This window comes from Homo sapiens, chromosome 17 (assembly GCF_000001405.40).
Source record: "Homo sapiens chromosome 17, GRCh38.p14 Primary Assembly".
In the NCBI taxonomy this organism is placed as follows: domain Eukaryota; kingdom Metazoa; phylum Chordata; class Mammalia; order Primates; family Hominidae; genus Homo; species Homo sapiens.
The window spans coordinates 78,283,191-78,295,385 of record NC_000017.11 but is presented as its reverse complement, the minus strand read 5'-3'; the positions used below and the strand labels follow the sequence as shown (position 1 = coordinate 78,295,385).

Sequence of the window (12,195 nt, the reverse complement as noted above, 5' to 3'; positions counted from 1 at the left end):
TGGGTTCACGCCATTCTCTTGCCTCAGCCTCCCGAGTAGCTGGGACTACAGGTGCCCACCACCACGCCGGCTAATTTTTTGTATTTTTGGTTGAGACGGGGTTTACACTGTGTTAGCCAGGATGGTCTCGATCTCCTGACCTCGTGATCCGCCCGCCTCGGCCTCCCAAAGTGCTGGGATTACAGGTGTGAGCCACCGCGCCCGGCCTCACACTGACCTTCTTAAATAACACAAGAGCCTCGGGAGTACAGATCTAAAATCACACCTTCGATGCTGCTGGAGTCTCCGAAGCACCTGGCCAGGCCGCCTACAAATCAGCATGTGAATTCTTCCAGAACGCGTAGGCAGCTCCTGTAAATTGAGGAAATCAGACTCGTAAAGGCTGTGACTCAGGTTCTCCTCATCATCTCGAACACCATCAAAACAACAATAGAGACACAGAGCAGCATTCACTTCGCGGATGGTTGCAACATAGGAAAAGCAACCACTCACCAGGGCTTTCTTGGATTTCTTGCAAATTACCGTACTCTCTCCGCCCAGGGGTCACCAGCCAGGGCTGCTAAGCACCTAAGATCGCGGGGAGGGTGTTGGCCTGGGATTCCCGGCCAGGATGCAGGACTAGCCTTAGTTCTGGGATATTCTCCCGACTTTAAGGAGGGAGGCCTCTTCCTGTGGTCAGTGGCCATGGCCTGTGAGCCTGGACTTGCGGCCAGGGTAGGATCAACACACAATTCCCCCTTCACCACCATGTCACATGCCCCCAGGCATTGCAGCCGCCAGGGTCTGGGGTCCTCACTCTCGCTTTCCCAGCTGCATCCCACCAGCAACCACAATTGGCCTTGGCGTGTACTCTTCATCCAGACTGCAGCTGCCTCCCTACAGTACTCTGGGGAGTCTGCCCTGCTCTTCATGGTCACACTCTCCACCTGCCTCACTCACCACCGTTCACGGTCATTTATTGGCCCTCCAGGCATGTCCTGGGGACCTCTCAAGCCCTCCCTTGAAACGCTTAACCCATCGGGTTAGGGCCAAGCAGGAGGGGCTTGTGTGGATTTGAAGACCCTCTGGACCAGGGATTCCAGCGATAAGCATAAAGGAACAGGCCTGAAGGCCAGGGTTTGGAGTGCTGTTTTCCTGGGCAGTGATAGCCCAGAATACCAGGGGTCAGGACTTGGGGCACACTGAGTTTGAGCATGACTGACCCTCGGAGGCACTGCCTCATCAGAGACTCACTCAACTAGCCAGGCCCTCCTGCACGGGGAGGGGCCCTGTCCTCTGCAGACTCTCCCTCATGGTCACAAGACACCCTTGGGCAGGCCCAGGCCATGTGCCTCTAGGTCCCAATGCAACAGAAAGGGAACTACTTGGCCGGGTGCAGTGGCTCACGCCCGTAATCACAGCACATTGGCAGGCCTAGGTGGGTGGATCAGCGGAGGTCAGGGGTTCAAGACCAGCCTGGCCAACATGGTGAAACCCCATCTCTACTAAAAATACAAAAATTAGCTGGGTGTAGGCCGGGCACGGTGGCTCACGCCTGTAATCCCAGCACTTTGGGAGGCCGAGGAGGGCAGATCACGAGCTCAGGAGATCGAGACCATCCTGGCCAACATGGTGAAACCCCATCTCTACTAAAAATACTAAAAAATTAGCCAGGCGTGGTGGCGGGCGCCTGTAGTCCCAGCTACTCGGGAGGCTGAGGCTGGAGAATGGCGTGAACCCGGGAGGTGGAGCTTGCAGTGAGCCGAGATTGTGCCACTGCACTCCAGCCTGGGGGACAGAGCCAGACTCCGTCTCAAAAAAAAAAAAAAAAAATTAGCTGGGCGTGGTGGTGTGCGCCTGTAATTGCAGCTACTTGGGAGGCTGAGGCTGGAGAATCACTTGAACCTGGGAGGCGGAGGTTGCAGTGAGCCAAGGTCGTGCCACTGCACTCCAGCCTGGGTGACAAAGCAAGACTCCATCTCAAAAAAAAAAGGAACTACTTGTAGGTAAAGCAACTGAAACCTATTTATAGGGCCATCTGACCCGGGTTGGGACATGTATCCTATATCGTTATAACCAAGGGGGTGAGAGAGTCAGACTGGCTTAGACCAATGAAGGCTCATCCCTGGGGTAAAGTGGATGGTGGAGAAGAAAGTGACAAAAGTTCACTATGAGAGGTGATCTGAATGAGCCCCAAAGTCTATGATTAGAAGCCAAGAGCATGGGGCCAGTCACGGTGGCTCACGCCTGAAATCCCAGCACTTTGGGAGGCCGAGGTGGGTGGATCACTTGAGCCCAGGAGTTCGAGATCAGCCTCGGCAACATGGCAAAACTTCATCTCTACACAAAATACAAGCCAGGCATGGTGGCATGCACCTGTGGTCCCAGTTAGTTGGGAGGTTGAGGTAGGAGGATCACCTGAGCCCAGAAGGTTGAGGTTGTAGTGAGCTGTGATCGTGCCACTGCACTCCAGCCTGAGCGACAGAGTGAGACTTTGTCTCAAAAAAAAAAAAAAAAAAAAAAAGGCAGCCTGGAGGACAGCTGCAGCAGCACCGTGCATCTGTATCCTGGGTGTTTAATAACTGATTGTTGAGGAAGGAAGGAAGGAAGCTGGACACAGAGAGGCAGGTATCCAGCTCTCGCTTCTGGGAGGTTGGTGGAGATGGGCACAGAGCCCAGGGCACCCGGCCAAATCAGGGGCAGGTCCAGCTAGGAGGGTCCCTTCTGAGAGCAGCGGTCCAAGCTCGCTCCTCCCTGGGAGCAAGAAGCCTGGTCAGAAACAGAGACTGAAGCAGGAGGTGAGTCCATGTGAGGCCGTGGCTTGGACACCAACCTGAGATGTTGGAGACATGGAGTGAGGCCCCATGGAGAGGGCAGATGAGGAGGGTGGATTAGGGCTGATCTTGGGAGCTGTTGCCCCCATATCCCTTTGACATTCGCCTTGGCAAACTTTGTAGGCCCGGAGGAGAGTTCTCAAAACACAGTGAGTGTGACCTGAGGGACACAGCCGGACTGGGCTGCAGGTGGGTGGATCCGAGGTGGATGAGACCAGCCCCTGTTGTGTCCTATGCTTAGATCTCGGGGCACTCTTGGGCGGTCTGTAACTGGCAACAGTGTCGCCCCCACGCAGGGAAAGCCGAGTGGGACCCAGGGTGGTCCTTGGGGAGCCCTCCACCCAGGCTCCAGCTCCGGCCTGCCCGCTGGCCAGGACATTACCTGTTCCCAGAACGCCATCTGCCCCAGAGGCCATTCACCCTGGCGGCAGGCTGGGCCAGAAAGCAAGTGCCCAGCCCCAGAGCCAAGAGTGAGGCATGAACGATGCCAGCAGAATGCCACACGTCCTCAACTCGGGCTGCCTGAAGCACAGATACTGTGGCTCCCCTGAGTTGGCCCTTTGACCATGGAGTCCACCGTCCCCAAGGAGGTGCTGGGGACAGAGGCATCGGCTCGGCAGCGTGAGGGTTTCTGTTTGCAGACAGGACGGTGCAACACACAGGTGAGGCTCACACGAGTTTGCCCTGGAGACCCCGCCTGCCTCAGAGAACTGGGGGTGTGGAGAGGCCCAGAAAGCTTCACAGATGTGGGGCTGACCAGCCTGGGGGAGAACCCTGTCTCGGGGGATCCCCACTAGCAATCCAGAGTGGACTGGGTGTGGGCTGAGAGGGGCCACTGCTATGACTGGGAAGCTTGGAGGTCTTCAACTGTCAGTCCCATTTTAGGAGGAGCAACTGACCCAGGGGCTGACTGAGTGTGTGCCCAAGAGAGGAGGGTCTGCCTGTCCGCATTGAGGAAGGCGCCTGCTGATGGGTGTCAGGGGTGCGTCGAGCCCACTCTGCCCGCTCTGTCTCCAGGGACCCTCCCTGCTGCTCTTCAGTCTCCTTCCTCGCTGGGGGCAGATCATGCGGGGCACGGCGCAGGAGGAGAAACTGCAGGGCAGCCGGGCACCATGGCTCACGCCTGTAATCCCTGCACTTTGGGAGGCTGAGGTGGGCGGATCACCTGAGGTCAGGAGTTTGAGACCAGCCTGGCCAACATGGTGAAACCCCATCTCTACTAAAAATACAAAAATTAGCTGGGCGTGGTGGTGGGCGCCTGTAATCCCAGCTACTTGGGAGGCTGAGGCAGGAGAATCACTTGAGCCCAGGAGATGGAGGCTGCAGTGAGCCAAGATCATGCCATTGCACTCCAGCCTGGGCAACAAAAGCGAGACTCCATCTCAAAAAAAAAAGAAAGAAAGAAAAAGAAACTGCAGGGCAGGCCCAGCTGTGACACTGGCAGGGCCCAGTGCAAAATGAAGATGCAGGGCTCCTTGTTAAAAAATCACTAAGAATTTCGAAATGGTGACGGAGATCATTAAACCCAGCACAGCGTGCTCTGAGCATGGGGACCAGTGCACCTCCATAGGTCACACACCCCTGGAGCTGGCCCTGCAGCAGGGAGATTAAGGGGAGTCCGCAGTGAGGTGGCATCTTATCTTTCTAATGGGCATCTTAGGCGCACACACAGTACATACAAAGGCCCTGTGGCCGCATGCCAAGGCTCCTGAGGAGGCCCTGAAGTCTGCCTCCCTCTGCATACAGTGAACCATTAAACCTCTAAACAACCAGAGAAATAGGTGTCATTAGTCCCATCTTACAGAGGAGAAAGCGGGGCTCAGGGAGGTGGAGGGACTTTCCCAAGGACACTCAGCAGGCAGGCGGCAGAGCTGGAACCCAGAGCCAGCCCAGCGGGCTCCAAAGGCTGGCTTGGGCACACTGGCCATACCACAAGGCAGCTCCTTGTCCCAGCAGGCAGGGCTCCTTTGTGCTGTGGAGCCCAGGCCCCAGCCCCCACTCCCTGGGTTCAAATCTCAGCTCTGGAAGTGACTCAGCCTCTCTGAGCCTCAGTTTCTTCCTCTGTAAAGTGGATATTGTATTCATAGGTCCTCCTTTGATAGGATTGCTTCTCGTGATACACGCAGGATGCGAAGAACAGTAGCAGGCACGGAAAAGGCCCCAAATAACATCTTCCATGGATGCCACTGTGGCCTCGCTCGCTGTTCTTCCTGCCGCTGCCGCCCAGCCTGCAGGTCTCTCCCACTTTGGGTAAATAACCCTTCCCCACCTTTGGCAAGCCGGGCCACCTGGCAGTACGTGCAGGGCTCAGGTCACTGCCCACACCCACCCGTGCATGCCCAGGTAGGACACACACACTCTCTCTCACACACACTTACACTCGCACTTACACACACAACACACACACTCATTCACACTTACACTCAACACACAAACACACTCGCACTCACACACAAAACACACACACACTCATTCACACACTCACACTCAACACACACACGCCACTCACACACACACAAAACACATACTCACACACACACATACACTCACACACACTGACACCCCTTAGCCTGGTGTCTTGAGCCAAGTACGAGGCTGCGAAGGTCTCCCTCTAGCGGCCCAGAAAGAGTAGATGCTCACTCAGGCCTGACTTAACTCACTGGAGGAAGCCGCGGGAACTCCTCTGCCCTGGGCTGCAGCCGGATCCTAAGAAGTTCCCGTCCTGGCTGGGGGGTTGGGCATGGTGGCTCACACCTGTAATCCCAGCACTTTGGGAGGCCGAGGCAGGCGGATCATCTGAGGTCGGGAGTTTGAGACCAGCCTGACCAACGTGGAGAAACCCCGTCTCTACTAAAAATACAAAATTAGCTGGGCTTGGTGGTGCACGCCTGTAATCCCAACTACTAGGGAGACTGAGGCAGAAGAATCGCTTGAACCCTGGAAGCAGAGGTTGCAGTAAGCCAAGATCGCACCACTGCACTCCAGCCTGGGCGACAAAAGCGAAACTCCATCTCAAAAAAAAAAAAAAAAAATAGAATCCCAGGTCCCGGCCATGCCTAGACACCCGCCTTCTGTCCCTTCATTCATCTGAGCAGCAGGAGCTGAACACTTGTCAGCAGCAGCCCAGCCCAGAGGCTAGAATCAGAGCCAGTCCCACGTCCAGGACCCGAGGAGGTCCCAAGGCTTTTGGGGGGCCAAACAGAGCTGGCTGAGGGGTGACGAGTAGGAGGTCTCACAGCCCTCAATGTCAGGCACAAGGGGAGAGGCAGGGTAGCCCAGGAAGAAGGACGTGCACAGGCAGGGGCTCCATGCCTTCATGCCTGGGGCTGGGGCAGGATCCGGCTGCAGAGGTGAGGCACACACAGTAGGACTGCAATAATGAATACACAGAGTAGGACTGCAGTAATGAGTGAAGGAATGAGCGCATGAACCGACAGCCTTGCAGGTTTGTTTTTGTTTTTGTTTTGTTTTGTTTTGAGACAGAGTCTTGTTCTGTTGCCCAGGCTGGAGTGCAGCAGCATGATCTCAGCTCACTGCAACCTCCGCCTCCCAGGTTCAAGTGATTCTCCTGTCCCAGCCTCCCGAGTAGCTGGGACTACAGGCACGCACCACCATGCCAGGCTAATTTTTGTATTTTTAGCAGAGACAGGGTTTCACCATGTTGGCCAGACTGGCCTTGAACTTCTGACCTCAAGTGATCGGCCCACCTCAACCTCCCAAAGTGCTAGGATTACAGGCATGAGCCACTGTGCCTGTCCAGCTTTGCCACTTTTGTATCACAAGCCCCTTGTACCTCTTAACAATAGATTCAGAGGTGGTTTGGTCTCAGCTGGAGAGAAGCCAGAGAACCTATACTTCTAAAAGTAGCTCAGATGGGCCGGGCGCAGTGGCTCACACCTGTAATCCCAGCTCTTTGGGAGGCCAAGTTGGGAGGATCGCTTGAGCCCAGAAGTTCAAGACCAGCCTGGGCAACATGGCAAGATCTGTCTCAGCAAAATATTTAAAAACTTAGCTGGGGCATGGTGGTACACGCCTGTGGTCCTAGCTACTTGGGAGGCTGAGGTGAAAGAATCACTTGAACCCTGGAGGTTGAGACTGCAGTGAGCCAAAATCCCACCACTGCACTCCAGCCTGGGCAACAGAGCGAGACCCTGTCTTAAAAAAAAAAAAATAAAAAAAGGAGCTTAGATAATTCTGAGACCAGGCAAGTCTGGAAACTTCCTGACTTCTTGTGGCATCCCTGGTTGCCTGGACACTGATTAACTCACAGCCCCAGGCCCCAGGACTCTGAGCTGGGAGGTCTGGGGTGGCCCTGGAAGCTGCCTATGCAACCAGTGTCCCAGGCATGGGGGTCCCAGTCACCCTCTGGGGTGCAGCAAACTAAGAAGCAGGAGCAGGGGACTCAAGGGGATCCCCAGGACGATGGCATTAGCGGGAACTGCCCCAGGCACTGGCAACCGCAGCCAATCCCGTGCTCTCTGGGCCTCTGGTCGCACTCAGAAGACATACCTTGTCCAGGGCCAACAGCGGTGTGAGGACCAGGACGGGGACCCTGTAGTTCCCACCAGTCATGTGTCCTGGACAGCCCACGTCACCTCTGACACTTGGTCACACAACGATGTGAAGATACTTACTGCCACTGAATTGAAACACTTAAAAATGGCTAAAGTTGGCTGGGCGCGGTGGCTTACGCCTGTAATCCCAGCACTTTGGGAGGCCGAGGCAGGTGGATCATGAGGTCAGGAGATTGAGACCATCCTGGCTGACATGGTGAAACCCCATCTCTACTAAAAATACAAAAAATTAGCCAGGCACGGTGGCGGGCACTTGTGGTCCCAGCTACTCAGGAGGCTGAGGCAGGAGAATGGTGTGAACCTGGGAGGCGGAGCTTGCAGTGAGCCGAGATCGTGCTGCTGCACTCCAGCCTGGGCGACAGAGCGAGACTCTGTCTAAAAAAAAAAAAAAAGGCTAAAGTGGCAAATTTTATGCTATGTGTTTTTTACCACAAATTTTTTTTTTTTTTTTGAGACAGAGTCTCACTCTGCCACCCATGCTGGAGTGCAGTGATGTGATCTCGGCTCACTGCAACCTCCACCTCCTGGGTTCTAGCGATTCTCCTGCCTCAGCCCCCCGAGTAGCTGGGACTATAGGTGCGCACCACCACACCCAGCTAACGCTGGTATTTTTAGTAGAGAAGGGGTTTAACCATGTTGGCCAGGCTGGCCTCAAACTCTTGACCTCCGGTGCCACCCACCTTGGCCTCCCAAAGTGGTGGGATTACAGGCGTAAGCCACCACCCCCGGCCTATTTTACCACAGTTTTTTTGAGACAGGATCTCACTCTGTCGCCCAGGCTGGAGTGCAGTGGCACCATCTCGGCTCACCTACAACCTCCGCCTCCTGGGCTCAAGCGATTCTCCCACCTCAGTCCCCCAAGTAGCTGGGACTACAGGCATGCGCCACTACAGCCAAACTGTCTGTGTGTTTAGTAGAGACGGGGTTTTGCCATGTTGCCCAGGCTGGTCTTGAACTCCTGAACTCAAGTGATCCACCCGCCTTGGCCTCCCAAAGTACTGGGACTACAGGTGTGAGCCACGGCGCCCAGCCCCACAATTTTTTTTTGAGAGAAAAAAGCTCGCAAGGAGCCCATGCACTTCAGGTTCTTTGGGTGATACAGACACCTGGTGGAGTAACTCGCTGGTCTGTGGACGATGCCTAAGACTGTTCATTCTGGCTGTATCACTGCTTCTGCCTCAGCTTCCCCATTCATAAAATGGGGATGATACAGGCAGAGGCAGCTCCACTGCTGCCCAGTGAGTGGCGGGCAGAGGCTCCATCCTGGCAGCCTGCACCCTCTCTGCTTGGCCTCCTTCTCTCCAGGGCTGCTGCCACACCTCTGTCCCTTGCAGGTGGCTCTCTTGAGATTGCCTAATGGGCCTTATGGTCCTTTTAGATTTTAGGGTCATGTCACTTTTCATTTCACGATGGAGGAAGGGGGCAGTATCCATAACCCACAAGGCAAGGAGAAGCCAGAGGGATTTTGTTAGCTATTCCCAGACACCTGTTCCAAACATTCTCTAGAGACAGCAGCTGAAAGCCCAGGGGAGGCAGGGGTGGGGGGCAGGAGGAACAGAAGCATGTTTTCTTCCTTTTTTCATTTTAGCAGCTTTATTTATTATTTATTTATTTATTTATTTATTTTTGAGATAGAGTCTCGCCCTGTTGCCCAGGCTGGAGTGCAATGGTGCGATATTGGCTCACTGCAACCTCTGCTTCCCAGGTTCAAGCGATTCTCCTGCCTCAGCCTCCCAAGTAGCTCGGATTACAGGCGTGTGCCACCACGCCCGGCTAATTTTTTTTTTTTTTTTTTTTTTGTATCTTTAGTAGAGACGGGGTTTCACCATGTTGGCCAGGCTGGTCTCAAACTCCTGACCTGGTGATCCGCCTGCCTTGGCCTCCCAAAGCGCTGGGATTACAGGCGTGAGCCACCGTGCCCGGCCTTAGCAACTTTATTAAGAGCGTTTAAACACCACACTATTCACCCATTGAAAGTATACACTCAACAGCTTCTGGTGAATTCATGGAATTGTGCAACCATCACTGTAGTCAACCACAGAACATTTTCTTTTTATTTTCTCTCTCTTTTTTTTTTTAGACGGAGTTTCGCTGTTATTGCCCAGGCTGGAATGCAATGGTGCGATCTCGGCTCACCGCAACCTCCGCCTCCCAGGTTCAAGTGATTCTCCTGCCTCAGCCTCCCGAGTAGCTGGGATTACAGGCATGCACCACCACACCCGGCTAATTTTGTATTTTTAGTAGAGACGGGGTTTCTTCATGTTGAGGCTGGTCTCGAACTCCTGACCTCAGGTGATCCGCCAACCTTGGCCTCCTAAAGTGCTGGGATTGCAGGCATGAGCCACCCTGCCCAGCCCTACCAGAACATTTTCATCATCTCAAAAGTGTCCATGAGGCCGGGCGCAGTGGCTCACACCTCTAATCCCAGCACTTTGGGAGGCCAAGGCAGGCAGATCACCTGAGGTCAGGAGTTCGAGACCAGCCTGACCAACATGGTGAAACCCCGTCTCTACTAAAAAAATACAAAATTAGCTGGGCATGGTGCCGCATGCCTGTAATCCCAGCTACTCAGGAGGCTGAGGCAGGAGAATCGCTTGAACCCAGGAGGCGGAAGTTGCAGTGAGCCGAGATTGCACCACTGCACTCCAGCCTGGGTGACAGAGCAAGACTCTGTCTCAAAAAAAAAAAAAAAAAAAAAAAAAGGATCCATGAGCGGTCACTTCCCATTTCCCCTTCCCTCCCCCAGCCCCTGACAACCACTCGTCTACTTTCTGTCTATGGAAATTTACTTTTTCTAGATATTTTTAATTTTTGTTTTTGTTTTTGTTTTTTCGGACAGGGTCTCACTCTGTTGTCTAGGCTGGAGTGCAACAGCATGATCATGGCTCACTGCAGCCTCAACCTCTTGGGTTCAAGGGATCCTCCTGCCTCAGCCTCCCAAGTAGCCAGGACTACAGGTGCACACCACCATGCCTGCCTAATTTTTAAGTTATTTGTAGAGATGGGGGTCTTGCTATGTTACCCAGGCTGGCCTCAAACTCCTGAGCTCAAGCGACCCTCCCACCTCAGCCTCCCAAAGTACTGGGATAACAGGTGTGAACCACCACACCTAGCCTTTTTCTGGCTATTTAATTTCAATGGGATCATACAGTATGTGGATCAAAAGTATACATCGTTTGTGTCTGGCTTTTTTTACTTTTATTTTTTGAGATGGAGTCTCGCTCTGTTGCCCAGGCTGGAGTGCAGTGGCACGATATTGACTCACCAAAACCTCTGCCTCCTGGCTTCAAACGATTCTCCTGTCTCGGCCTCCCCAGTAGCTGGGATTACAGGCATGCGCCACCATGCCCAGCTAATTTTGTATTTTTAGTAGAGACAGGGTTTCACCATGTTGGCCAGGCTGGTCTTGAACTCCTGACCTTGTGATCTGCCCGCCTCGGCCTCCCAAAGTGCTGGGATTACAGGAGTGAGCCACCGCACCTGGCTGTATCTGGCTTCTTTCGTGGAGCATAATGTCTCGAAGGCTCATCCGAGTTGCAGTGTGTATGAGAACTGCATTCTCTTTACGGCCAAGCAGTGTTCTACAGTGTGGTTACCACACATTGTATCCGTGCACTCATCAGGCGATGGACCAGCCCACGTTCTCTGAGACGGGCTGACTTGGACTCTGAAATGTTAAGCAACTTGCTCTCCAGGAGTCCTGTGAAGAAGTTGCTTCATCCTTTTGAAGTCTGCCCAGGAGCCCTAACTGCTAGACCAGGCTCCCCAGCTGCTGGTCTCATCAGGATAGCAATGGAGAGTTCACTTTTTCCGAGAAGGATGTTTTATGTGTTTACAGGCATTCTGTAGTTATGTTTATTATTTACGGTCAGGTTTAGGGACATAAAATTGCCACTGTATTGTTGGGAGTAAATTTTATTTCCGTGGTTTTAACACACACACACAAATAATAATCATATTAGTAGCTGAATATTGTCATAATTCTGTAGGATATAAATTTTACTGCAATAACAACTATAAAATACCAAGAACCCACTGCAGCAGGATTATTAGGAATAAATGTTACTGCTGCTTCCAAAACACAAACGATCACTCCATTGGCGGCTGCAAAGAGCCCTCACACTGGTGAGTATAAATGTGCTATGTGAGCAACTCTAAAACCCACAATACTCAACCACTGTGGTGGGATGATTGCGAATCCATTTTATGTCTCCAATGAAGACAAAAATAAAATGAATGATGCCTTTTGTAGTTAAATTTTCAATCATCTTGCCGGCAAGAATGTTTTACTGCTACAATTGTAAAACCATAAAATGCAAAAAGAAGAAGCCATTTCAGCCCCAGGAAAGACGAAATGATAAAAATGCACCTTTATCTGTGAGAAATGTATGGTTGGGGCAGGAAAATCGTTCTTATAGACGTGAATTTGGAGGGCCGGGCGTGGTGGCTCACGCCTGTAATCCCAGCACTTTGGGAGGCCGAGGCAGGTGGATCACCTGAGGTCAGGAGTTCGAGACTAGCCCAGCCAACATGGTGAAACCCCGTTGTACTAAAAATACAAAAATTAGCCAGGCGTGGTGGTGCACGGCAGCTACGCGGGAGGCTGAGGCAGGAGAATTGCTTGAACCCAAGAGACAGAGGTTGCTGTGACCTGGGATCATGCCACTGCAATCCAGCCTGGGCATTAAGAGTGAAACTCTGTCTCAAAAAAAAAAAGATGTGAATTTGGAAGAGGGTGGGACTAGGATTGCCAGATAAAACACAGGATGCTCAGTTAAATTTGAATTTCAGAGAAACAACAAATACAT

General features: G+C 53.0%; 2 annotated features.

Moving 5' to 3' along the window:
- Positions 3,386-3,655: a silencer, noted in NCBI's record as "fragment chr17:76287812-76288081 (GRCh37/hg19 assembly coordinates)". NCBI's record gives its function as "represses an EF-1alpha promoter that drives an FKBP-Casp9 reporter gene in an ReSE screen in phorbol 12-myristate 13-acetate-treated (for megakaryocytic differentiation) K562 erythroleukemia cells {active_cell/tissue: K562(+PMA)}" and the evidence as "EXISTENCE:reporter gene assay evidence [ECO:0000049][PMID:32094911]".
- Positions 7,227-7,728: an enhancer, noted in NCBI's record as "H3K4me1 hESC enhancer chr17:76283739-76284240 (GRCh37/hg19 assembly coordinates)". NCBI's record gives its function as "activates a minimal SCP1, AML or CMV promoter by ChIP-STARR-seq in primed H9 embryonic stem cells {active_cell/tissue: H9 hESC(primed)}" and the evidence as "EXISTENCE:reporter gene assay evidence [ECO:0000049][PMID:30033119]".